Genomic DNA, 26,374 nt, shown 5'->3' on the forward strand with positions numbered 1-26,374 from the left:
TGGAAGGAATTGGAGAATGTTTTAACTTGTATAAGGATAACTGGCTTAAGAGTAAATATTTGTTTTCAAAGGTTCGTTTTTGTTTTAAAGTTGAATTATTAAATGGGTTAGATAAGTTGTTAAATTTAACTGGAAATTTTTTTAAGACTGATTTCAATAACCCGTAAATTCACGCCAAAGGGTGATTATTTTGAAAGGGACATTTTTTTTGGAAGAATAAATTTGCAGGAAAAGCAAAACAAAACAAAAAATAAAACACCACAGATATTACATTTTATTTTTAATTTTTTGTTCCCTTTTTTTTTCCAGGTAGATAATCCCAGCAAAAGGTAGTACTTTATTATCAAGTGGTACTTAAATATTCCTAGGAAAAACAGCCACATGTTTTAAGAACTGCAGCCTCCAAAAGGGACAATCAATGTATCAACTCTGATTTATGAAGTCTTAAGGCAAAAGTTTTAAATGGCCTCACAACCGACCATACAAAGAATCTTATCTGTAGGAGGCGGGCCACCCTCAAAACCAGAGAATTATCCCGAGGTATTTCAGGGTGCTCATGGGTGCCACATCTCCTAGAAAGTTGATCTGAAACCACTGCAAACTAAAGGACCCCACAAATGAGTCATTTAACAAATCCAAATAAAACATTTTCTCAATAGCTTTTAGGTACAAAGGGTATCATCCAGAGACTGCCTTGGTTTATTTACATCTTCAAAATATAAACAAAATGTAAACATTCTATTTTCATCCAACTTTTAAAGTCTACGCTCCTAAAAGAAAGTGGCCACTGATAAAAGAAAATAGCATACTTTAAACCGCCTATCATAAAAACAATTTAAGGTTAGTTTTGTTTTTAAAACACTCAACATTGCTTAGGGCTGGGGGAGAGGGCTGTAAAATACTACATACAATCAGCAAATTTCAATTCTAGGAATCTATCTCCAGGAAATAACTAAGCACTTAAAACTCATTCAAGAGTTTAGCAACAAGAAAGTTCATTACATTGTTATAATTTTTATAATGAAAATAAAAACATATCTGTGTAGTGAAAAAATAAAAAAAAATAAAAACAGCCTCAATATCTAAATGATTGAGTGGTCAAATTATGGTACATCCATTCCATTCAGAGAAATACTACGCAGCCAATTAAGAATAATGTTGCAGAATTAAGCTGATTGACATAGATCTATATGTTCCAGTGTGGGGAAGAAAAGTATTACCTGTAAATATGTGCACAGAAAAAGCATCTGAAAGAACATATGTCAAGATATTAGATTAGTTATTAGAGAAATGCAAATCAAAGCTATAATGAGTTACCACTCCACATCCACCAGGATGGCTAAGATTAAAAAGATAGGTAATAACGAGTATCAGTGAGGGTATAAGAGACACTGTAACCCTCCTTCCTACATTGCAGGTGGGAATGTAAAATAGTGCAGCTGCCTTGGAAAACAGTCAGACAGTTCCTTGAAAGGTTAAACAAAGAGTTACCATATGACCCAACAATCTCTTTCCTAGATATATGCCCAAGAAGAGTGAAAATAAATGTCCACGCAAAAATTTGTACACAAATGTTCATGGCAGAATTATTAATAGTCCCAAAGCAGAAACAATCCAAATGTCCCTCAATGGATGGATGATATGGTTTGGCTCTGTGTCCCCACCCAAATCTCATCTTGTAGCTCCCACTATTCCCATGTGCTGTTGGAGGGACCCCGTGGGAGACAACTGAATCATGGGGATGGGTCTTTCCCGTGCTGTTCTTGTGATAGTGAATAAGTCTCACGAGATTTGATGGTATTAAAAATGGGAAGCTCCCTGCACAAGCTCTCTCTTTCCCTGCTGCCATCAACGTAAGATGTGACTTGCTCCTCCTTACCTTTTTTCATGATTGTGAGGCCTCCCCAGCCACGTGGAACTGTAAGTCCATTAAACCTACTTCTTTTGTAAATTGCCCAGTCTCGGGTATGTCTTTATCAGCAGCATGAAAATGGACTAATACAATGGATAAATAAAATGTGGTATATTCATATAATGGAATATTATTCAGCAATAAAAAGGAACAAAGTACTGACACATGTTATTATACAACATGGATGAACCTTGAGAACATGATGCTAAGTTAAAGAGGCCAGTTACAAAAGACCACATAATGTATGATTCCATTTATATAAGAGGTCCAGAATAGGCAAATTTATAGACAGAAAGTAGATTTGTGGTTGCCAAGGACTAGGAGGTTTGGGGGGAAACGGTGTGTAACAGCTAATAGGTATGAAGTTTATTTCTGGGATGATGAAAATGTTCTAAAATGGACTGTGGTGATGACTGCAGAATTCTGTCAATATACTAAAACCCACCGAATTGTACACTTTAAATGGGTGAATTGTGATGATAGGTGAATTATATCTCAATAAAATTGTTTAAAATCTTCATAGAGGTAATGTTTGGAAAATAAGATAATAGAAGGCTTGTTTTTTATTTTTTAATTTAGGCTTATCTATCCTTTCTAACTTTTCTACAATGAATATGATTACTTTGAGATAATGCCTCAAAAAAAAATATCTTCCCCTGTTATCATACAGAAAGCACCAAACATAAAATAATTGAAAAAATGAAAATACCCCTTTCTTTATGATCCCTATGGCCACAGCAAGATGACTGGCAGGCAAAGCTCGGCTTATTACCACATCAACCCTGATCAGTTATAACCCCAGTCCCCAACCCACGGCTGGGCACAGAAGCTCAATGTTTTTTGTTTTTTGTTTTTCTTTTTGAGACAGAGTCTCGCTCTGTTGCCAAGGCTGCAGTGCAGTGGTGTGATCTCAGCTCACTGCAACCTCTACCTCCCAGGTTCAAGCGATTCTCCTGCCTCGGCCTCCCGAGTAGCTGGGATTACAGGTGCATGCCACCTTGCCCAGCTAATTTTTGTATTTTTAGTACAGACGGAGTTTTGCCATGTTGGCCAGGCTGCTCTCGAACGCCTGACCTCAAGTGATTCACCCGCCTTGGCCTCCTAAAGTGCTGGGATTACAGGCGCAAACCACCAAGCCCGGCTGAGAAGCTCAATGTTTTTTTACATGGATGATGGTTTACTAAGGTGCTACTAAAGTGACAAATGTGATGGTGTACTCAGAACATTTTCTACCGGGTTACAGAAGATGTTCTGTGGGGAAAAAGTGAACAAAAATAGATAACATCGTATTTTTATACCGTTGTATTTGCTGTATGTTTGTACATGAGCAAAGATTATAAGATATTGATAGAAAGACTGTCTAAAACCAGCTGTGTTGCTCTAAGGCAGGGAAGTTTGAAACCAAACATGGGATATAGGTAAAGATAGAAAGGAAAAAAAAAACTGCTTCTGGGAAATATTTCCAACCAGTAGTTTATTATTCACAAACTGTGATTCACCAGTCCTATTTTTTAAGCCAGCATCACGCTCTAATCATATTCCTAGGTTACAAGCCCAGTTATTTGTGCATAATAAAAACTGAATCCATTAAGATGATACATTAGGCTTTTCTTCCCTATGTCATCTCTTTAGGGAGACATTTGATTATAAAACCTACAAAATATTGAACCTACATATTACTTTGGATCCCGAAACCAAAGAGGTTTCCTATGAAAATGAAACAGTTATCCAAGGATTCTTTCACCTGAAAAACGGAGTCCAAATCTGGGGCAGGCAAATAATGAAACCCTCAGACCTATGCAAGTGACACTATTCCATCCAGACATGAAGAAACTTTAATGCGGCTCACTAGATTTATGTTCGGAAATATGGGCTATTGTTGAACTCTCTCTCGAATAACTCTCAGATACATTTTTCTCCTGTGCTCTGAGAAGCTACATTACTGCAGAAGGCTGAATAGGCAGGCAAGTTAATGAAACAATACACATGTGCACAACTACAGTTTAATTTCATGATCAGCAGCCCTGATAACAAACTCAATGAACATTCTACTTATGGCCTCAGTATAAACACTTGATATCGCCTATTAGGATAATTAATGCAGGTGATCACTGTCAGAATAAATGATAAGCAAAGACATTGCTAGTTAAGACTCATCTATCAGATTACAGTGTTTCTATACACACATGATCCTCAGTTCTCGGTGACTTTTTAAAAACCTCCCTCTAAAACCAAAATATTGGCTAAATGAAAGAAATCTGATATCTTATAGCTTTTAAAAAAAAAGGTACTTTGCCTCACATTGTACTGATCTCTTTGGTAATTGAGAGATGTGGCACCTAAATAACCATAAAATGAGGACTGCTGACAGTGATGATGTAACCCTAACCAACTCTAGGAGCAAGATATAGGTCTAGGAAGAAAGGAAAAACTCACTGACTAAATAAGCACATTCTGGATTAACAAAAGACAGCCTCAAGTGCTTAATAATACCAATGTTATTGCGTTTTGGATCTGGTAGCCTAAAGTCTCAACTCATAATGAGTCAATGTCTGGCTCAATAAGACACACACTGAAAGAAAATCACAGTATTGCCTCCAATGCAATAGTTACTACATCAATCAAAAAGAAATATCAAAAACTATTTCTTGCAGAGGCATAGTATAACATTCAAAAAATGATGGCTTAGAGTAAAAAGCATCTTTGGAGCATAAAGAGAATTTACATTTATTATCTATTAAGCACGTGTGAAGGTGGTGCCTTCTTTCACATGTTAGCTGTCCCCATTTCACCTATCAGGAAGGAGTCTCTAAGAAGTAAAATCATGGCCGGGTGCGGTGGCTCATGCCTGTAATCCCAGCATTTTGGAAGGCCAAGGTGGGTGGATCACTTGAGGTCAGGAGTTCGAGACCAACCTGGCCAACATGGTGAAACCACGTCTCTACTAAAAATACAAAAATTAGCCGGGTGTAGTGGTGGGCTCCTGTAATCCCAGCTACTCGGGAGGCTGAGGCAGGAGAATCGCTTGAACCCGGGAGGCGGAGGTTGCAGTGAGCTGAGACCACACCATTGCACTCCAGCCTGGGCAACAAGAGCGAAGAAACTCCATATCAAAAAAAAAAAAAAAAAGAAGTAGTAGTAGTAGTAGTAAAAGAATATGCCTAGGGCACAGCTAGCAAGTGACCAGTTAGAACTCAGGTTTGTCTGATTTTATACCCACTGCGTTCTGCACATCACTGTTGCCTGGTTTAACTGCAAACTTTGCTATGAGTTTCATTTACAATTTTAAAATAATAATTCTTACTATGTTTGGGGGTAAAAACCCTTGGGAGAAAATTCTAGGAGTGAAATTCTGACCTTTCTTTTTTTTTTTTGAGACAGAGTCTTGCTCTGTCACCCAGGCTGGAGCACAGTGACTCCATCTCTGCAACCTCTGCCTCCCAGGTTCGGGTGATTCTCCTGCCTCAGCCTCCCCAGTAGCTGGGATTACAGGCCTGCGCTACCACGCCCGGCTAATTTTTTTTTTTTTTTTTTTTTGTATGTTTAGTAGAGACAAGGTTTCACCATGTTGGCCAGGCTGGTCTCAAACTCCTGACCTCAAGTGATCCACCCACCTCAGCCTCCCAAAGTGCTGGGATTACAGGCATGAGCCACCGGGCCCGGCCTGACCTTTCACCTAAATATAGTTACGCTAAACTATAACCTTTTGATAAGGGTCTGGAATATTTTATCATGAACTCTGAGAAGTTTGGATTTCTAAATACAAATTGGAAATATTTACACGAACTGAAACTATAGTTCCAACTACAGCTAAATCGTTATTTTTGGCTCTTTAGCCTAAGTTATTCAATAACCAAACACTAGAATCCAGTGACAAAGTAGCAAAAGGAAAGATGTGGCAAAGGAAACCATTATACACCTATCCCTTGACGTTATGAAATGATCGAATTCATGTCAAACATTTGGTCATTCTGCTTATACCTTCGTTTGTGAACAGATGCCAGGCAGTAGTTACCAATCCAAGGTGAGGTGCTCAAGTTCAAAACCTGACCTTAGTTGTAAAAGTGGGGTTTTTATTTGAAAGAAAAACTTAACTTCCACAAGTTCTATTATAAAGAGTCTACAAATTTTCCTTTATTTAAAAAAAAAAACCCTGAATTTGAAAAAGGCAACCTTATTTATTTACTTCTCCTGTTTCCAAATTCTTGTTACTCCAAGAGTACAGACAGTTATTTACCTAAAATGCAAAACCTCCAAAGAGTTCACACGGTGGCTGGCACTCAGGCACACACATGTCAGTGCTCTACTGGGACACCTGGTACATGATATCCCTATTAAAGAGTACACAGTACCTTTAAAGAGGTCATTAAACAGAACACGGACAAATTTGCCACGCTCACATCCTGAACAATACATTTTGTGAAAAACATTCGCTAATTTAGGTTCTTCCAACCAGAAGAAAAAAAAAAGCCAAGTCTCCCACAAAGTGCCCCCAAATCCACAGCTGAGTGAAGGTCATAAAGAGTTAAATGAATGTAAACCAGGCCCTATCATTCGTCTCCTCCAGAAAAAGATGAAAAGACATTTCTGATGGCCCCAGGTGCTCTCCCACGAGGAGACAGTCTTTCATTTGAGGTTCTGAAGCGGCCTCACCTCGAACCCATGCGGGATCTTCCAAGAGTGCAATTCCCACAGCTCCACTTGCTCAAGGAAGTCTCGGTGCACAGAAGGAAGCCTGCAGCCTCCCAGTACCAAGAAACCGGCAGGGCAAGTGGCAGAAGCCAGCTCTCGGGTGAGAGTCCTTACTCCCTGTTGCATTCGTTCCCCAAAGTTTTCGAATTTTTAAAAAGTTCAAACAAGGATTCGAAGCGCAGGACAGACCCTTCCCCTGGATCCCAACGCCCTTTCGGCTCCTCCGCGGCCCCCGCCAGGCAGCGCCGGCGCCCGCCCGCGAGGAGGAGGGTCCCGCAGGTGGGCGGCCTCCTCAGGCCGGGGCCTTCTGGGACCCCCAAGTGCCGTGCAGGACGCCACGAAGTTGCGCCCGAGCCCGCGGGGTCCGGGGAGCCGCTGCCCGTGACAGCCGCGCTGGCTTGGGAGGCTCTTCGGGCGGCCGACGCCTCGGTGGGGCCGCGACTCCCGTCAGGGAAGCTCTCCCGGCCCGGTGCCGCCTCCTACGCCCGGCCCGAGCCTCCCACGGCTGGGCTCACGGGGCATCTGGCCGCCGCCGTCGCGCTCCCAGCTCGGACTCCAGCCCCGGCGCCGCGACGCTGCCCCGGCCCCGACCCGGCCGTCGCGAGCTGTCCTCCACCCCACGCTCCCCGGTCACTCACCCCGAGGCCGGGCAGCAGCAGCGTCAGCAGCAGCAGCAGCCGCCGGGCCGGCATGGCGAGGACTCGGCCCTGGCTCCGGGGGCGGTACGGACAGAGGACGGGGCGGGGGCGCCGCGACGACAGCGAGGCGGTGACCGAGCCTCAGCGGACGCAGAACTGACTAGGCAGCGGCGGCACCCCCATTCCCGGCCCTATAAGCGCTGGGTGCCGCGGCTTCTTCCGGTCGGGGCGGAGTTGCGGGCGGGGACGGGGCGGGGCCAATCTAGGGGCGTGTTCGGGGCGGAGATGGGGGCGGGCCGAGGGCGTGCCCCGGGCGGGGATGTGGGAGGGGCTGGCTCGGGGCGGGGCCGAAGGCGGTGCTGGCATCTGGCTGGCTTCGCTCATGAGGCGTCGGCGGCTGTAAAGGACCAGGCCTCGGCATCCAGCGTCTGGGGGCGCTGGGGGATCGAGGCGCGAAGCTTGTCTGTGGCTGGGAAAGACCGGCAATGCCCCACCAGGCCGTCCCATTAACCCTGCCGAGGGACCTGCCGCGTCAGACTTCATCGGGGAAAAGGGCGGGACACGGGCGGTCCCGGGTGCCTAGAAGCCTCCTTTTCGTCTTTCCGCCGTGGTGGAATCATCCGCAAGGTTTACCGAGGCGACCTCCGGAGCGAAGGTTTCAGCAGCTACCGGAGGCTTCCAGCAAACACGGCGCAGCTGCCCCGCGCGGCAGTCGCAGTGTTCACAGCCCTAGGGTTCTCCAGCTGTGCCTCGTCTTCTCTGGGGCCCCTTTCTTCCTTTTCCTTGCCCTCAGGAATTCCCCTCAAGTCATATCCACCAGCCATCACTTCCGCTTGGAATGAACCACGGCCAAGTCACTCACCAAAAATTATAAGGAGGAAACCATTTCGGCCACTTGTGTCACGTGCGTTGATGTGACACGTGTGGATGTGAAGTTTGAGATGGTCTGCGTCACAACTCGTTGGAGGGAGTGGGTGGGTTGAGGCCTCCTGCAAGGTCTATGTGAGGGTGTGGAGTACTAATTAGAGTTAAAGAGCTCGGCAGCTGTTTGGTCACTGGCACTGGCCTCCACTGAGAGGGACATGGGTAGGGAGGACACGTCTTTTGCAAGGAAAGACAGTAAACTGAGATTTGGAGCCCAGGGAAAGGTATCTAACTTATCCTAGGAGAAAAAGAAAACGGCTATGAAATTCTCTAATTTTTCCTGACTTGCTTATATGAGAGCCTAAGATTTTTCAGGTTTGAAGGAAAAGAATAAGCACTCCTAGACAAAACAACAAAGTAGTAGTGGGGGACTGGCCAAATGTCCAGTCTGTGTGCATTGTGGTCAATCTTATCCAACTAAAACAGACCAAAATGACAGTAAGCCCAAATCCTGCAAATAGAGCTCCCCATTCCTAACCCCCTAGGCCTGGATTACAGTGAAGGGACTAAGTCCTACCGCATGCTGGAGACTCCAACACATCTCTGTAAGAGTGGGAAGAATCTTGGCAACTGTGAAAACAGTAGAGACATTTTGAAAAGTGTTACCTGAATGTCTAAATGCAAACAGAGGTTTGGGATTGGCAGAGAGATGTACTGAGAGGCCCAGCACTCCTGAGCAGTATAGCCGGGCTTCCAGGGAGGCCTACAGCCCTGAAACTGGGAGGAGCTCTTTATTTCTTGACCTTTTATCTTTTCTTTTTAGAGATGAGGTCTCACGGTGTTGCCCAGGCTGCTCTCAAACTCCTGGGCTCAAGAGATCCTCCCCAGTAGCTGGGACTTCAGGTGTGCCCCACGACACCTGGCTTGGGAGGACCTCTTTAGTGATTACCTGTCCAGTTTGCCAGCTGACAACAGCATCTGTTAGACCCTGTATACTTGACTTAAAAGAGAAGCTTGACTGAAAAATGTCACTTTCACATCCCCCCCTCTGGTGCTTTTTCTCAAACAGAGTAAGTCTAGGAGGGGAAAATTTGCTGTACTGGAACTCTGGCAGCCCTTTTACAATTCAAAATGTCACTGTGACCCTGTAACATCAGCAGATGAAACACAAAGGGGAATGCTGACCTCAATTTCACTCATAAATCAGTTTTAAAGATCGTAGAAAGAAAAAAAATCTGTTCCAAGAAGCCTGGACAGTTAGGTATTATTTATCTTACACTCAGTTGGACCAAATCCCCAGGGCTTAATTGCACTGTTACATGTTCTCTGAATTTCTTTCTTTTTTTTTTTTTTTTGAGACAGAGTTTCACTCTTTTGCCCAGGCTAGAGTGCAGTGGCACGATCGTGGCTCACTGCAACCTCTGCCTTTTCGGTTTCAAGCGATTCTCCTGCCTGAGACTCCCGAGTAGCTGGGATTACAGGTGCCTGCCACCACGCCTGGCTAATTTTTGTATTTTTATAGAGACGGGGTTTCACCATGTTGGCCAGGCTGGTCTCGAACTCCTGACCTCGTGATCTGCCCACCTCCGCCTCCTAAAGTGCTGGGATTACAGGCGTGAGCCACTGTGCCCGGCCCCATTCTCTGAATTTCTTATGCATCGTCCACATGCTTCATGCACTTCTTCACTTGATTGGCAATCCAGACAGATAAGCACTGGTTTTATTTATGGTGGCATTGCCCATAATCTTGCTCTACAGTCAAGTACTTCTTTAGGCAGCTTTTTGCTTATGATAAAGTAAAAGCTGATAGCACTGATAAACACAAACAGAAATGGAATATTTTGTAGGGTGCCTTTGAAGTGGACCTGACCATATAAAAGACCTGCAAATGGGCAGTAAATGACCTTTCTGCAAGTCACATTAAATAACATCCACTGAATAAAGCAAAGGTCATGGTCTTAGTGTAAAGATAAGGCCTCTTTTCCACCAGTGTAAGAAACATATATACATCAGATTCAACAAAGAAGTACAGCAGGATCTGACTATGGGGAGGTGGGAGAAAATCTTATTTTCACTTCCCTTTAAACCACTGGTTCCCAAACTTGGAGAGCTAAAAAAACAAAACAAAACAACAACAACAAAAAACAGATTTCCAGGCCAGGCATGGTGGCTCACGCCTGTAATCCCAGCACTTTGGGAGGCCGAAGCAGGAGGATTGCTTGAGATCAAGACCAGCCTAGGGAACATGGTGAGACCCTGTTTCTGTAAAAAAAAAAAAACAAAAAACCAAAAAATTAGTCAGGCATAGTGGTTCACACCTGTAGTTCCAGTGACTTGGGAAGCTGAGGTGGGAGGATGGCTTGAGCCCAGGAGGTCAAGGCTGCAGTGAGCTTTGATCGTGCCATGGCACTCCAGCCTGGACGACAGAGCAAGACCCTGTCTCAAAAAAATAGAAATAAAAAGCTGGGCATGGTGGCTCACACCTGTAATCCCAGCACTTTGGGAGGACGAGGCAGGTGGATCACGAGGTCAGGAGTTCAAGACCAACCAGCCTGAGCAACATGGTGAAACCCTGTCTCTACTAAAAAAACAAAAATTAGCCGGGCGTGGTGGTGTGCGCCTGTAGTCCCAGCTACTTGGGAGGCTGAGGGAGAAAAATCTCTTGAACCCGGGAGGCAGAGGTTGCAGTGAGCCAAGACTGCGCCACTGCACTCCAGTCTGGGCGACAGAGTGAGACTCCATCTCAAAAAACAAACAAAAAAAAAGAAATTAAAAACATATTTCCAATAACTTCTTGTACCCCTTTCCCTGACTGATTCACAATGTCCAGGGGCAGAGCCCAGAGACCTGTGCGTTTTGCAGTTTCCACCGTACACTGAAGGCAGTCAAGATCCAGGGCTCCAGCTCAATCATGATGTCCAGCCTTCATCCCTGCAACCATGAATCCCTTTTAGTTTAGCAAATATCGCCCTCTAGTGTAATAAATTATGACCCAAAAAAGGAGCTTGTGCCTGTCTCATTTGTGTTTAAAACCCTTCAAAATCTCATTTAAAAATGCTTGTGAGGTTGATTTGCAGATAGCTAGTGACAGGATAGATACCTTTGAAGGCGGAGACTTGAAAGAAAAATCTAGTAAAACCAGAAAGAAAGGTCATGGTTGAAAACTCCAGTAACATTTCAAAGGAATAGTATCTTTATCAGAATAAATCAAGTCAGTTTTTTTGTTGTTGTTGTTTTTAGTGATATCGCTGCTGCTGCTTCTTGAACTGAACCTACAGAGTGTGTGGAAGTAGTTATGGGATAAATATTAATACAACCATAAAGGGGCAAGGCGCTGTGACTTACACCTGTAATCCCGCACTTTGGGAGGCTGAGGTGGCGGGTATCTTCAGCCTAAGAGTTTGAAACCAGTCTGGGCAACATAGTGACACTTTGTCCCTACAAAAAAATAAAATAATTAGCCAGGTGCCATGGTGCACACCTGTAGTCCCAGCTACTCTGGAAGCTGAGGTGAGAGGATTGCTTGAGCCTGAGAGGTGGAGGCTGCAGTGAGCTGTCATAGCACCACTGCACTCCAGCCTGGGCAGCAGAGCGAGACCCTGTCTCAAAACAAACAAACAAACAAACACAAAAAACAATGAAGCAAGAGTCTCTGATAGCAAGCTAAATTCTCATCTCCGTCCTCCCGTCACGTTTAAGGGACATTTTAAAAGTTGTTCTCACTGTGAACACTTTGGTTTTTAGGTAAATAGGACTTTGGCTTTTCCTGTTCTAGGATGACTGGATTTGAAAAGATTGTGACACTTGTTTAAGAACTTCCCTTTACCACAGAATCCCACTCACTACACACTTTCTTAGGTTGCAAAAGTGATTATTTCTTTTTTTTCACATTATACCATAAGGAGTAAAAAGTGATTATTTCTTATTATCTTTTTTATTGGCTGTTTGCTGTTTGGAAATGTGCAACTACATGCTTTATGGTATCATCTTGTCTTATCTTTACTCTAAGACCATGACCTTTGCCTGATGTAGTGGATGTTATTTAATTTTAAGAGACAAGGCCTCTGCCCCGCTACCTATCACTCACCACCCCACTCCCAGGTTCTACCCTGTGGGGTAGCTTAGGCTAATCCTGACTGGTTATTTGTTCACTTGTCTCTGGGTGTTGTATTTCACACGCATTTGTGCCAAGTCTATACACCGCCACAGAAAGTATCCGTGTCCCCAGTTTATATACATTAATATTCTCAAAGGGCCAAGGCAGCACCAAGATGGAAACGGCCATCTCTCAAAGTACCTCCACTTCCTCACTGGCCAGGCCGTCCTAATCCCCTGAGGTCTGGCTTAATTCCACAGAACTCTCTGGAAACTTCTCTCAAGCACTTCATAAACATTCTTCCTCTTGTAAAATCCCTTTGGACCTAATTCCTGGGTTTGTTTTTTTCCCCCCAGCCACCGGGCCTCTTTTCAATTCAGGTATATTAAGGGTTCTTTTCTCTTGAACTTTTCCTCCTTGGATATTACCATTTTCTGGCTTTCCTCCTGTGTCTCTGCTTTTTTTCCTCCTTCCAGATTCTGTGTGGTTTATTTGGGGGGCAGGGGGTGGGGGTAGGGACGGGGTTTGAGTCAGGGTCTGCGTCTATTGCCCAGGCTAGAGTGCAGTGGTGTGATCTAGGCTCACTGCAACCTCTGCCTCCCAGGCTGAAACCTCCAGGGGCATACCATCCTCTCTTCTCGGCCTCTGGAGTAGCTGGGACCACAGACAGGCACCATCACACCCAGCTAATTTTTTTATATTTTGTAGATGCCAGGCGAGTGGGTCTCACTTTGTTGCCCAGGCTGGTCTCAAACTCATGAGCTCAAGCAATCAGCCTGCCTAAGCCTCCCAGAGTGCTGGGATTTGGCCTGGTGCGGTGGCTCACGCCTGTAATCCCAGCACTTTGGGAGGCCAGGGAGGGCGGATCAGGAGGTCAGGAGTTCGAGACCAGCCTGGCCAATATGGTGAAACCCCATCTCTACTTAAAATACAAAAATTAGCCGGGCGTGGTGGCACGTGCTTGTAGTCCCAGCTACTCGGGAGGCTGAGGCAGAAGAATCACTTGGACCCCAGAGGCAGAGATTGCAGTGAGCCGAGATCGTGCCAGTGCACTCCAGCCTGGGCGATAGAGCAAGACTCTGTCTCAAAAAAAAAAAAAAAAAAAAAGTGTTGGAATTACAGGCATGAGCCCCTGTGGCCAGCCAGTACATTGCTTGAGGCTTAATATGTAGACCTTATCTATTTTCTCTTTCCTTTCTTCCTAGGAGGACTCATTTAACATATTTTATATACCAAATTTTATTTTATTTTATTATTTATTTTTGAGACAGAGTCTTTCTGTCGCCCAGGCTAGAGTGCAGTGGCGTGATCTTGGCTCACTGCAACCTCTGCCTCCCGGGTTCAAGCAATTCTCTGCCTCAGCCTCCCAGGTAGCTGGGATTACAGGTGCCTGCCACCAAGCCTGGCTAATTTTTTGTATTTTTAGTAGAGGCGGGGTTTCACCATCTTGGCCAGGCTGGTCTTGAACTCCTGACGTCATGATCCACCCGCCTCAGCCTCCCAAAGTGCTGGGATTACAGGCATGAGCCACCGCGCCCGGCCTTTTATATACCAAATTTTAGAGCAGAAAGGCACTTTAGCCATAATGTAGTCAGCTTCATTTCGCAGATGACTTCATCTTTGACCTCTACATGGATAACTACAATGCATTCATTCAACAAAAATCACTGAAGGCTTCCAAGTACCAGGGATTAGTGCCATAAGGAAATATTAGAGAATTTTCAGGTTGATACAGGACATGCACAGAAATAACCAAGGTACAAGACTGATGGTGAAGGCCTGGTGTGGTGGCTCACGCTTGTGATCCCAGCACTTTGGGAGGCCGAGGCAGGCAGATCACCTGAGGTCAGGAGTTTGAGACCAGCCTGGCCAACATGGTGAAACCCTGTCTCTGTTAAAAATACAAAAATTAGCTGGGTGTGGTGGCAGATGCCTTTAGTACCAGCTACTTGGGAGACTGAGGCAGGAGAATCACTTGAACCCCAGGAGGCAGAGGTTGCAGTTAGCTGAGATCATGCCATTGCACTCCAGCCTGGGCGACAAGAGCAAAACTTCATCTAAAAATAATAATAATAATAATAATAATAATAATAATAAAGACTGACTGTGAAAAGTGCAAGAGGGAGGGAATAAACTTAGAGAAACAGAACTTTGGTCATCAAGAGAGAGATCAGGAAGGAAGGTGGTGGATGGATAGAGCAGGGAGGGCTTCATGGAAGAAGTGATGTCTGGAATGTGCCATCTGTCAGATTTGACTAGAAAGGACATTCTAGAGGCACAAGGAGGATCTGAACAAAGGCCTGGGGAAAGGAAAGCACCGAGTAACTTCATGGAAGCCCTTCCCACAGTAGTTGGTTCAGGATGAACCCATGATATGAAAAATCTTCAGGGGGAATGCATGTGAGGGAGCAGGGAGCCCAGGAGCTGCTGGGTCTGCCCTTAGGATGATGCTGTCAGCACGGTGGCTGAGTGGGGCCATGGGGCAAGTGTTGCCTGGAGTCTGGCTCCTCTGGTTTTTTTTTTTTTTTTTTTTTTCTTGAGACGGAGTCTTGCTCTGTCACCCAGGCTGGAGTGGAATGGCACAATCTCATCTCACTGCAACCTCTGCCTCCTGGGTTCAAGTGATTCTTGTGCCTCAACCTCCCGAGTAGCTGAGACTACAGGTGTGTGCCACCGTGCCCAGCTAATTTTTGTATTTTTAGTAGAGATGGGGTTCCACCATGTTGGTCAGGCTGGTCTCGAACTCCTGACCTCAAGTGATCCGCCCACCTCAGTCTCCCAAAATGCTGGGATTACAGGTGTGAGCCACCATGCCCGGCTGTGGTTCCTCTGGGTTTTCAAGTTGTGTCAGCTGGTCAGTTACTTTACGTTTTCCATTAAAATAAAAAGCATTCTGAAATTATATATATATAATTTATATATATGTAAAAATTACATAATTTTACATAGTATTTACGAACAGCACTAGAGAGAACTTAGAAAATTTTAAAAGGTGGCTTGATTACAAATTACTACAGAAGATGAAACAAAATGAAACAAAACATAGTCAGCATAGTAAATTACAAAAAAACAAGGGGAACTTCCCAATTAAAAAGCAAATACTTCCCGAAGAGAAATTAAAACACACTGCCGGGTGCAGTGGCTCACGCCTGTAATCCCAGCACTTTGGGAGGCCAAGGCAGGCAGATCACCTGAGGTCGGGAGTTTGAGACCAGCCTGACCAACATGGCGAAACCCCGTCTCTACTAAAAATAAAAAATCAGCTGGGCATGCTGGCGCATGCCTGTAATCCCAGCTACTCAGGAGGCTGAGGCAGGAGAATCACTTGAACCCGGGAGGCAGAGGTTACAGTGAGCCAAGATCACACCATTGCACTCCAGCCTGGGCAACAAGAACAAAACTCTGTCTAAAAAATAAAAATAAAAAAAAATACACCCATACAAAAACTTGTACACAAATGTTCATGGCAACATTATTCATAATAGTCAAAAAGTGGAACCAACCCAAGTGTCCATCAACTGAAATGGATCAACAAAATATGGCATTATCTATTTAATGGAATATTTAACAATTGAAAAGCAATGGAGTATTGATACATGCTCCAATAGGGATGAACCTTGAGGAAGTTATGCTTAGTGAAAGAAGCCAGTCACAAAAGACCATATGTTGTACCATTCTGTGTATATAACATGTCCAAATCTAGAAAGACAGAAAGTAGATGAGCGGTTGCTTAGGGAAGGGGAAGCAGATGAGGGAGACTGGAGAGTGATGATAAAGGAGTGTGGATTTCTATTTGGGTTAATGAAAATATTTTGAAGTCGATGGCAGTGATGGCTGCACAACTCTGTTAATACACCAAAGCCATTGAATTTGTACTTTATTTTCTTTGAGACAAAGTTTCACTTTGTTGCCCAGGCTAGAGTGCAGTGGTGTGATCATGGCTCATTGCAGCCTCAACCTCCTGGGCTCAAGCAATTCTCCCGCTTCAGCCTTCGGAGTAGCTGGGACTACAGGTGCCCCGCCACCGTGCCTGGCTAATTTTTTAAAAATTATTTGTAGAGATGAGGTCTCCCTATGTTGCCTAGGTTGGTTTCCAACTCCTGGGCTCAAGCAATCCTCCCACCTTGGCCTCCCAAAGTGCTGGGATTACAGCCATGAGCCACGGTGCCCAGCCTGAATTTTTACCTAAATGAGTTCGTTGTATGGTATGTAAATTATTCTTCAATAAAGCTATTATAAAAATATAAGTGGTCTATACAGGCCAAGTAAAAGGCTGAAAATGACCAAGCTGAAAAAAAATCGGCCGGGCGCGGTGGCTCACGCCTGTAATCCCAGCACTTTGGGAGGCCGAGGCGGGTGGATCACGAGGTCAGGGGATCGAGACCATCCTGGCTAACACAGTGAAACCCCGTCTCTACTAAAAAATACAAAAAAATTAGCCGGGCATGGTGGCGGGCGCCTATAGTCCCAGCTACTTAGGAGGCTGAGGCAGGAGAATGGTGTGAACCCAGGAGGCGGAGCTTGCAGTGAGCCGAGATAATGCCGCTGCACTCCAGCCTGGGCAACAGAGCAAGAGAGCGAGACTCTGTCTCAAAAAAAAAGAAAGAAAGAAAGAAAGAAATCAAGACCATTATATGATGACTACAAAAATTAAACTTCAGATACAAAGGCATAGGTAGACTAAAAGTGAAAAGATGGAGAAAAATAAGATAGACCTTGTGAAACCGATAAGAAAGTTGGAAAGGTTATACTGACATTGGAACTGACTTTAATACAAGGAATGTTACCAGAGATAAAAAGCGGCATTTCACAATGATAAAGAGTCTGTTCATGCACAAAACATAGCAATCCTAAACGTGTAAACACCTAAAAACGGTTTGAAAATACGTGAAGGAAAAATTGAAACAACTGATGGGGTGAAAAAAATAAACCCACAATTAGATTAGATTTCAACACTCATTTACTGATAGGATAAGTAGGCAGACACTAAATTATAAGAGAACGATTTTCAGCCTCTGTGTTACTGACATTTTTGGCCAGATAATTTGTTTGTTTGTATTTATTTATTTATTTATTTATTTGAGATGGAGTCTCACTCTGTCACCCAGGCTGGTGTGCAGTGGCGCTGCCTCGGCTCACTGCAACCTCTGCCTCCCGGGTTCAAGTGATTCTCCTGCCTCAGCCTCCTGAGTAGCTGGGACTATATGTGAGCCACCACGCCTGGCTAATTTTTGTATTTTTGGTGGAGACTGGGTTTCACCATGTTGGCCGGGCTGTTCTTGAACTCCTGACCTCAGGAGATCCGCCCACCTCGGCCTCCCGAAGTGCTGGGATTACAAGCGTGAGCCACCATGCCTGGCCAAGTTTTTAATTTTACTTGTAATTGACCAGCTCAGTCTTTGTTGTGGGGGGCTGTCTTGTGCATTGTGGTATGTTTAGCAGCAGGCCAGGTGTGGTGGCTCACGCCTGTAATCATAGCACTTTGAGAGGCCGAGGAGAGCGAATCACTTGAGTCCGGGAGTTTGAGACCAGCCCAGGCAACATGGTGAAACCTCATCTCTACAAAAATAAATAAATAAACAAACATATATATGAATGTTTAGCAGTATCCCTGGTCTTTATCTGTATGAGTTACCTAGGGCTGCCATATCAAAGTACTGCAAACTGGGTGGCTCAAAACAACAGAAATTTATTCTTTCACAGTTCTGGGGCTAGAAGTCTGAGACAAAAGTGTTGGCAGGGCCACGCTGTCTCCGAACCCTCTAGGGAAGGGTCCTTCTATGCATCTTCCAGCTTCTGGGAGCCCCAGGTATCCTTGGCTTGTGGCAGACTAACTCCAATCTCTACCTCTGTCCTCAAATGGCTGTTTTCCCCTCGTGTGTCTCTGTATCCAAATTTATCCTGCTTCTTATAAGAACATCAAATTGGATTAGGGCCCATCCTATGAACTCACCTTGATTATATCTGTAAAGACCCTGTTTCCAAATAAGGTCACATTCACAGGTGATGGGGGTTAAGGTTACAACATTTTTTTTTTTTTTGACACAGAGTCTCTGTCACCTAGGCTTGAGTGCAGTGGCACGATCATGGCTCACTGCAGCCTCCAACTCCTGGGTTCAAGCCATCCTCCTGCCTTAGCCTCCTGAGTAGCTGGGACTACAGGCACAAATCACTGTGGCTGGCTAACTTTTTAAATTTTTTTGTAGAGATGGGGGTCTTGCTTGTTGCCCAGGCTGGTCTTGAAATCCTAGCCTCAAGCAATTCTCCTGCCTCAGCTTCCCAAAGTGCTGAGATTACAAGCATGAGCCACCATGCCTGGCCAGCTTCAGCATTTCCTTTTGGAGGATACAACCCATAACACTACCTAATAGGTGTCAGGGCATCCCTCCTAGTTGTGAAAAACAAAAATGTCTCCAGATATTGCCAAATGTTCCCTGGATGGCAAAATCGCCACCCTCCCATTGAGATTTGAATAACACTATCAACTACCTTGATCTCCTTTACACTTATAAAACATTATACCCAACAACAAAAGAATACACATTCTGGAAACACTTATTCTATTTTATGGAATGAAGTGTTGCCAATTTAAAAAAAAAAAAAAGGAGGGTAGCATGGTGGCGCACACCTGTAATCCCAGCACTTTGGAAGGCAGAGGGGGAAGGACTGCCTGAGACTGTGAGTTCAAGACCAGTGTGGCCAACATAATGAGACTCTGTCTCTAAAATAAAATTTAAAAACTTAGCGGGGCATGGTAGTGCACTCCTGTAGTCCCAGCTACTTAGGAGGCTGAGGCCCAGGGATCTCTTGAGTTCAGGAGGGTGAGGCTGCAGTGACCCATGATTGCACCACTGCATTCCACTCCAGCCTGGGTGACAGAGTGAGACCATGTCTCAAAAATAAAATAAAAACACATAAATAAATAAATAAATATTTAAAAATATAGGCCAGGTGCAGTGGCTTATGCCTGTAATCCCAGCACTTTGGGAGTCCGATGTGGGTGGACCACTTGAGGTCAGGAGTTCAAGACCAGCTTGGCCAACATGGTGAAACCCTGTCTTTACTAAAAATACAAAAAAAAAAAAATTAGCTGGGCATGGTGGCATGTGCCTGTAATCACCATATTGGCCAGGCTTGTCTCGAACTCCTGAACTTGTGGTCCGCCCACCTCAGCCTCCCAAAGTGCTGGGATGACAGGCGTGAGCCACCATTCCCGGTCACTATTTGGAAATTAACATCATTCTTCTAAATAACCCATGGGCCTTTTCTGCCTCAACTGCTTCCAGGGCACCTGTGGAAAAAGCTTGTGATGAGGTGGGGCAAAAAATAGAAGCCAGTTCTCAAGTTCACCTTTGATTGTACCCACCCTACAGAAGATGGAATCAATTTACAAAAATTTACCAAATTACAAAAATTTATTAAAATGATTTTAGTAAAATTAGATTTAAATTAATAGAAATTGCATTTCTATATACCAGCAATGAACTCTTGGAAATTGAAATTTAAAAATAGTATCTCTCATGTTAGAGGCTTGACTAAAAAAAAAAGAATAAATATAGTATCATTCATAATAGCATTATAAATGAAATCCTGAGGGATAAATTTCACAAAATATATGCAAGATTGTACAATGAAAACTATGACATTGCTGAGGGAAATGAATAAGACTTAAATGAAGAAATATACTGTATTCATGGGATGAAAGACTGAGTGTTGTTAAGATGTCAATTATTCCCAAATTGATCTACAGATTCAATATAATTTCAGGCAAAATTCCTACTGGTCTTCTGTAGAAATTGACAAGCTGATTCTAAAATGTTTCTGGAAATACAAACAACCTAAAATAGTCAAAATAATTTTGAAAGAGGACAAAGTTACAGATCTTGTATATCTGATTTTAAGATGTACTATAAAGCAATGGTAATAAAGGGTAGATAAATAACAGTGCAAAAGAAGATACTGCTTAGAAACAAACCAACTCATATATGGTCAATTTTTTTTTTTTTTACAAACATGACAAGGTACTTTAAGTGAAAGGATATCCTCTTCAACAAATGGTGCTGGAACAAGTGAATATCCATATACAAACAAATGAACCTAACTCTTGTCTCACACTAGACACAAAAATTAACTTGAAAAAGATAATAGACCTGAATGCGAGAGCAAACACTATAAAACTTCTCGAAGAGCGGGCGCAGTGGCTCACGCCTGTAATCTCAAGAAATTTGGGAGGTCAAGGTGGGCGGAACACGAGGTCAAGACATTGAGATCATCCTGGCCAACATGGTGAAACCCCATCTCTACTAAAAATACAAAAATTAGCCAGGCATGGTGGCGTGCGCCTGTAATCCCAGCTACTCGGGAGGCTGGGGCAAGAGAATCACTTGAACCTGGGAGACAGAGGTTGTAGTGAGCTGAGATCGCACCACTGCACTCCAGCCTGGTGACAGAGCGAGACTTCGTCTCAATAAATTAATTAATTAATTAAATTAAATTAAATTAAACTTCTAGAAGAAACCATATAAAAGAAAAATCTGTATTAGGCCAAGATTTCTTAGATATGAAACCAGAAGTACTGTCTATTAAAAAATTGATAAATTAGATTTTCATCAAAATTAAAAATGTCTCCTCTTTGAAAGACACTGTCAAGAAAATAAAAAAGCAGGCCAGGCACGGTGGCTCATGCCTGTAATCCCAGCACTTTGGGAGGCTGAGGCGGGTGGATCACTTGAGGTCAGGAGTTCAAGACCAGCCTGGCCAACATGGTGAAACCCCGTCTCTACTAAAAATACAAAAATTAGCCGGGCATGGTGGTCCGTGCCTGTAGTCCCAGCACTAGGGAGGCTGAGGCAGCAGAGTCGCTTGAACCCGGGTGGCAGAGGTTGCAGTGAGCCAAGATAGTGCCACTGTACTCCAGCCTGGGCGACAGAGCCAGACTCTGTCTCAAAAAAGAAAAGAAAAGAAAAGAGAAGAGGAGAAGAAAAGAAAAGAGCAGGCCGGGCGCGGCGGCTCACGCCTGTAATCCCAGCACTTTGGGACGCTGAGGCGGGAGGATCATGAGGTCAGGAGTTTGAGACCAGCCTGGCCAATATGGTAAAACCCCATCTCTACTAAAAATACAAAAATTAGCCAGGCATGGTTGTGCATGCCTGTAATTCCAGCTACTGGGGAGGCTGACGCAGGAGAATTGCTTGAAGTCGGGAGGCGGAGGTTGCAGTAAGCCAAGATTGTGCCACCGCACTCCAGCCTGGGCAACAGAGTGAGACTGTCTCAAAAAACAAAACGAAACAAGTAATGGAGCAAAGCTTCTGTTGCTCCACATCCTCACTGGCATTTGGTATTTGAGGCATAATCTTAACACATCACAATCAAAGCCAACAGCCAACTTCCAAGCAAGTACATAATACACAAAGCAGAGCTGTGGACAATGTAATTACAACACAACTAAGGTTGAATTAATAAATAAATATTTTATACCATGTTTGTACTTGATAGTGAAAACATCTTCGTTTCAACAATCTGTGGAACACTTATAAAAACTGATATTTTAGGTCACAAAGAAAACTTTCATACATTGCCCAATGCGGAAACTGTACCATAATGTAATAAATGTTGAGATAACGAAAGTTAAAACAGCAACAAAAATAAATAGAGACTACTAAACACTTGTCAAAGTCATTATTGCTTTGGATTAAAGAGGTTTTTTTTTTTTTTTTTGAGATGGAGTCTCGCTCTGTTGCTCAGGTTAGAGTGTAATGGCGCGATCTCAGCTCATTGCAACCTCCGCCTCCCGGGTTCAAGCGATTCTCCTGCCTCAACCTCCTGAGTAGCTGGGATTACAGGGGCCTGCCACCACGCCCGGCTAATTTTTGTATTTTTAGTAGAGACAGGGTTTCGCCATGTTGGCCAGGCTGTTCTTGAACTCCTGACCTGATCCATCCGCCTCCGTCTCCCAGAGTGCTGGGATTACAGGCGTGAGCCACCGCGCCCGGCCAAAGAGGAATTTTTTGAATTTAAAGTCTATATAGAAAATAAGGAAAATAAGAGCCCATTCAACTACAAACCCATAGGGTGAAATGATTTCACTGTCACATACACACACACACACAAAACAATAAATTTTCCGTATTAAGAGGAAAAAAAGGAAAAGAATTCCCAAGGAAAACAGGGAGGCAATAAAGATAACCGGCGACTGTGACTGCTGGTGTACTGTGTCCTCCCCCAGTTAAGCAAACTATCATTCATCCACCTGTATGTCCGGGGAACAGGCTCAATCAACTCTGCGAAGCTTTCCCAAAGTCAGGCTTTCTGTCCTTTGGGCTTCTACAGTAGGCTGTTCATAGCGCTATGTTAGTATTTATTAAAGTTTTGCAATCCCAGGAAGTTTTTCACATCACTCTGCCCTTTAAATACCTTTGTTTACCACTTAGAATGTGCCAGGCAATTGGCATTAATTCACCGAATCCTTACAATTTTTTTTTTTCGCGGTGTGTGTGTGTTGGGGGGGGGCGGCGGGGGGGTATTCCTAATTTCCAGAAACTGAATCTCAGAAAGGTTAACTGAGCAAGGTCACAGAGCGAACGCATCACAAAGTCAGGATGTGGTGCAGATCGGTCCATTTTCAATACAAGCTCTTTCTACCACGACAGGTTATTTTGCACTTGGGGACAGTTTTTAACTTTCCATTCTCAACTCCTATCCTAGCTCCTGGCACAGAACATGTCATCCAAGTTAGGCATCATCGTCGCCTGCTCTTGGTGAAGTTTTCTTTTGCGTACTGCGGAGAGATGCGCTCATTACCAGCTGGCGGTGGAGTCGCTGAAACGCAAATGGATTTGAGACTGAGCGACTCCCATCTCTATGGTTGGTATGTGACCCATCTATCCTCTGGAGGACTCAGCAAGGACTACCAGTCACCAGACAACTTTACGCGCACGTGGTCGCAAGGTGAACTTGCTATTGGTTAATGGCAGTAAAGCCCGCCCATCAGCGCTGGTCTGCTCCTTTAAAAGAACGCCATCGACGCTCCCCTGTCTTTCAGCGCCTGCAGGTTCCGGGAGGTCAGGTTGTATTCCTGGCGGGTCGTCTGGCTGGGTGGGCCCCGGAGGTCGTGGCTCGGGAGCAGGGAGGCGTAGGGGGGCCGGCCTGCTGTGATGACATTCCAATTAAAGCACGTGTTAGACTGCTGACGCGGGTGATGCGAACTGGAGTCTGAGCCTGCCCGAGCGGAGCTGGGAGGGGGCTGGCGGGCGGGCGCGCGCACACCCGCTGATCTATCACTCTCGTTCTTGTAGCTCCCAGCCGAGGACGTCGGATGTCATCGTCCTTGCTGCTTTGCCACCCCATTCCCGTCAATAAAGTGGTTTGAACCCAACCCTGGTGTCGGTGTGTGTCGTTGGCGACGCGCTGTCTTTGAGCCCCCGCCGAGCTTCCTCGTGGCGCCGGGGGTCAATCTGCAGCGCTAGAGCATGTGCTTGCGCATAACTGGGGCCGCCTGGCCTCCCGCGGGCGGCCTTTTTAACCGCGAGCGACAAGAAGTAACCTGACTGTCCGGCTGCTAGGCTGGGCAATTTTCCAGCTGTTTTGCCACGACAGGCCTCAATCCGTAATACCAAGGCTGGAATGGCGTGTTAGGGGGGCGGTGGCTGACGGGGATACGCGGACTCTTGATGCGTAAGGAGTGCCCCTCTGCTCCCATACGTTCCCCAGCCCAGCCTTCCCTGAGTGTATCGCGCGCGCTGTGCCTTCGCCGTGAGTTCGACATAAGTCCCAGGCTGTCGCGTCTGCCATCAGACGCGCAGATTTAGTTGAAGGCAGCGTGGAATGGCGTCTGCAGGGCTGTTGTGTACTTGACATAAACAGATTCGGTGTGGAACTGCATTGAGTTAACTCCTGACTAAAGGGTAATCGACCTGTTTACAAATAACCATGCAGGAGTACTGACAAGCATGGGACTAAAGCTTTGGGCAGGTTAATCTGTCACTCCTAAACAGTTCAAAATTATAGGGCGGTTGTGAAGGTGAATTAGATTTTATATATGGTTGGGGACAACATAGACACCTAGTTACACAGTCCAGATTCAGTGATTGGTAAAAGATCTTCCACAAGGGCTCCAGTGAAAGGTGCATCAGTTCTGAGTACAGGGCAGCAATGGTGGGCAAGGATGCACGTATGCGTTCACTACATGGACATTCGATGAATGAAGGTGTCCCGAATTAACATTATACTAGACAATGAAGGGTGTAAACTGCAGCCCAGGAGCACCACTGCCCTACCCCCTCAGTTACGAACTTTCACTGGATTCTTTAAATGTGGGCTGAAGATAATGGCACATAGTTTGAAGGATGTAGTGAGGATGGCTTTGTAGCCTTAGGACTGGGCAGTGATCAACGCAGTAAATGAAAGCTGCGATTGCCAGGTGAGGGCCCCGGTGCTCTGTACTCATTTTATTGTGCCCCTATCTGAACAGGATTCCGTAGAAATGACTTAGATGCTTATCTAGTATTTGACATTGAGATATTTATTTTGTGAAACAATGCAAGCGATTTTAAATCCCCACATACTATTTGATTAAGTGCAACATGGTACAGTCATGTGTAATCTCTTTACACGATAGTGCATCTAGTCCTTAGCCTTTAGTTATTGCACAACAATTATAAAGACCAGTGACCAGGACACGTGGACTCTGACAGGCAGATCGGCCTACACAACGAAAAATCAGAACAGTACACCAACTGGAATGGTCAAACAATTTAAGTCAAATGTTTTAATGGTGCAATTAAAATAAGGGTTCAAACATGTTTTCAATATATTAATTTCTTTAAAGTCATGTTCAGGCAAGGTGCTGTTTAAAAAACCACTATTAGCTTTGTCCACACATGTAAGTTATCAAAAGTTACCCAAGGTAATTTTGACGTTGAATGCAGCTTTAAACAATAAAAAAATGGTATTAGGTTTACTTCTCGAAGCAAAGAGAGCCCCCAACCTTGTAAACTAAACATTCTGACACAAATGCACAAAATTAAGTTGGCAACATTAATTTTGAGATGTAGTGTGATGCTGAGCAAACTTTTGGTCTTGACTCTTGAAATAATTAAAGAGAGCAGTTCTCCGTTTTGGCCTTCAGGAAGGGAAATCTGCCCATGGAACTCTCCCAATCAGATTAACAAACTGTTTCGATTCCCATATAAACCTGGAGGACACAGGAAACGCCAGATGGAAAAACTGGCTCTGGCTTTCTAACCCCATCCCATCTGTATGAGAGGACCCATCCTGTCATGTGCAGTGTTTGATGTTTTCACATACGCTCCTGTCTCAGGAAAACATTCAAGATTAGCTAGCCCCCAGGTGGTTGTACCTCATTGGTGAAAGGCTTGGGATGGTTTGATCTCATGGCTTTGCCTGATGTTCACATAAATCCCACTGTCCTTACCCAAGCTGATAGCGTGTTGTGTGTGTACTATGGCTACTTGCTTCCCAAATGCACAATTTAATGTGGAAAATAAGTTGCTCTGCCCATCTCTTCTGTCACCGAAATGAAAAGGCTCACAGAATTCCTCTCCCCACCCTCCAGACACATTGCACACTGACATTCTCTGGAAGTGTGGAAGGCCGCATACAAAGTATAGAAGTGAAAAAGTCCACTGTGCACCGGCTGCCTGAAGAAAAGCTTTGGAGGAGTAGAGGAGGCAAGTTGTTCAGCTTTGCTCTTACTGTGCTCATTTGCTGCCACAAACATGGGTAGACTTTTAAAAGCCATGGTGTGGGTCACGTATAACTTCTGGATCCACCATGATTCTTCCATGGTCTCCTTTGCCAAATCAAAGCTTTGCAGCAGGCAATCCAGACAGTTGTCACTAGATGCAGGGAATGACACCTCACAGTGGAATGGGCACTGGCAGGCAGAGGGCAGAAGCAGTCCTTTAAGAAACAGTAGCTGTGGCACAGAGGCCAGTGCTACAGTACAGATGGCGGCCAAGAACCCCACACATCCAGCTCGATGTCACAATATGGGGAACATCTGACATCACCCATCATGGCTGATCAGCAGCCTCCACAGGTGGGTCTTTCAGGAGGCAGGAAGTAGAGCGAGGGTCCATGGCTGAGTGCATTATAGTGATATAAACATCATCCATGTTTGGCATGACAAAAACTTTCTGTAGGAAGATATTA

At 44.7% G+C, this 26,374-nt stretch overlaps 2 protein-coding genes, 1 long non-coding RNA gene and 2 other non-coding genes across 17 annotated transcripts in view, besides 8 other annotated features; 3 read left to right on the forward strand and 2 right to left on the reverse strand.

Annotated features, from left to right (window-relative positions):
• Positions 1–7,411, reverse strand: part of ERN1 (endoplasmic reticulum to nucleus signaling 1) — a 91,003-nt gene extending 83,592 nt beyond the window's left edge. The window contains exon 1 of the mRNA NM_001433.5: positions 7,243–7,411. Coding sequence (NP_001424.3) covers positions 7,243–7,296 — 54 coding nt within the window. The 5' untranslated portion in view covers positions 7,297–7,411. The remainder of the gene's footprint in view (positions 1–7,242) is intronic.
• Positions 6,922–7,371: a silencer, noted in NCBI's record as "silent region_8839". NCBI's record gives its function as "represses an Ori minimal core promoter by ATAC-STARR-seq in GM12878 lymphoblastoid cells {active_cell/tissue: GM12878}" and the evidence as "EXISTENCE:reporter gene assay evidence [ECO:0000049][PMID:35858748]".
• Positions 7,462–7,591: a silencer, noted in NCBI's record as "silent region_8840". NCBI's record gives its function as "represses an Ori minimal core promoter by ATAC-STARR-seq in GM12878 lymphoblastoid cells {active_cell/tissue: GM12878}" and the evidence as "EXISTENCE:reporter gene assay evidence [ECO:0000049][PMID:35858748]".
• Positions 8,012–8,211: an enhancer, noted in NCBI's record as "active region_12583". NCBI's record gives its function as "activates an Ori minimal core promoter by ATAC-STARR-seq in GM12878 lymphoblastoid cells {active_cell/tissue: GM12878}" and the evidence as "EXISTENCE:reporter gene assay evidence [ECO:0000049][PMID:35858748]".
• Positions 8,262–8,311: an enhancer, noted in NCBI's record as "active region_12584". NCBI's record gives its function as "activates an Ori minimal core promoter by ATAC-STARR-seq in GM12878 lymphoblastoid cells {active_cell/tissue: GM12878}" and the evidence as "EXISTENCE:reporter gene assay evidence [ECO:0000049][PMID:35858748]".
• Positions 9,216–9,275: an enhancer, noted in NCBI's record as "active region_12585". NCBI's record gives its function as "activates an Ori minimal core promoter by ATAC-STARR-seq in GM12878 lymphoblastoid cells {active_cell/tissue: GM12878}" and the evidence as "EXISTENCE:reporter gene assay evidence [ECO:0000049][PMID:35858748]".
• Positions 10,871–10,920: an enhancer, noted in NCBI's record as "active region_12586". NCBI's record gives its function as "activates an Ori minimal core promoter by ATAC-STARR-seq in GM12878 lymphoblastoid cells {active_cell/tissue: GM12878}" and the evidence as "EXISTENCE:reporter gene assay evidence [ECO:0000049][PMID:35858748]".
• Positions 22,924–23,478: an enhancer, noted in NCBI's record as "NANOG-H3K27ac-H3K4me1 hESC enhancer chr17:62223017-62223571 (GRCh37/hg19 assembly coordinates)". NCBI's record gives its function as "activates a minimal SCP1, AML or CMV promoter by ChIP-STARR-seq in naive H9 embryonic stem cells {active_cell/tissue: H9 hESC(naive)}" and the evidence as "EXISTENCE:reporter gene assay evidence [ECO:0000049][PMID:30033119]".
• Positions 23,237–23,576, forward strand: SNHG25 (small nucleolar RNA host gene 25). The gene is made up of 2 exons (NR_132278.1): positions 23,237–23,267; positions 23,497–23,576. It is a non-coding gene; the product is annotated as a small nucleolar RNA host gene 25 (long non-coding RNA).
• SNORD104 (small nucleolar RNA, C/D box 104) lies at positions 23,345–23,424 on the forward strand. Its single transcript, NR_004380.1, has one exon. It is a non-coding gene; the product is annotated as a small nucleolar RNA, C/D box 104 (small nucleolar RNA).
• Positions 23,456–23,665: an enhancer, noted in NCBI's record as "active region_12587". NCBI's record gives its function as "activates an Ori minimal core promoter by ATAC-STARR-seq in GM12878 lymphoblastoid cells {active_cell/tissue: GM12878}" and the evidence as "EXISTENCE:reporter gene assay evidence [ECO:0000049][PMID:35858748]".
• On the forward strand, positions 23,606–23,738 carry SNORA50C (small nucleolar RNA, H/ACA box 50C). Its single transcript, NR_002995.1, has one exon. It is a non-coding gene; the product is annotated as a small nucleolar RNA, H/ACA box 50C (small nucleolar RNA).
• Positions 24,494–26,374, reverse strand: part of TEX2 (testis expressed 2) — a 116,034-nt gene continuing 114,153 nt past the window's right edge. For all 13 annotated transcript variants that reach the window (XM_017024846.3, NM_001288732.2, XM_011525000.3 and 10 more), the window contains exon 12: positions 24,494–26,358. In XM_017024846.3, the coding sequence (XP_016880335.1) occupies positions 26,236–26,358 (123 nt within the window). In that variant the 3' untranslated portion in view covers positions 24,494–26,235. The remainder of the gene's footprint in view (positions 26,359–26,374) is intronic.

This window comes from Homo sapiens, chromosome 17 (assembly GCF_000001405.40).
Source record: "Homo sapiens chromosome 17, GRCh38.p14 Primary Assembly".
Taxonomy (NCBI): domain Eukaryota; kingdom Metazoa; phylum Chordata; class Mammalia; order Primates; family Hominidae; genus Homo; species Homo sapiens.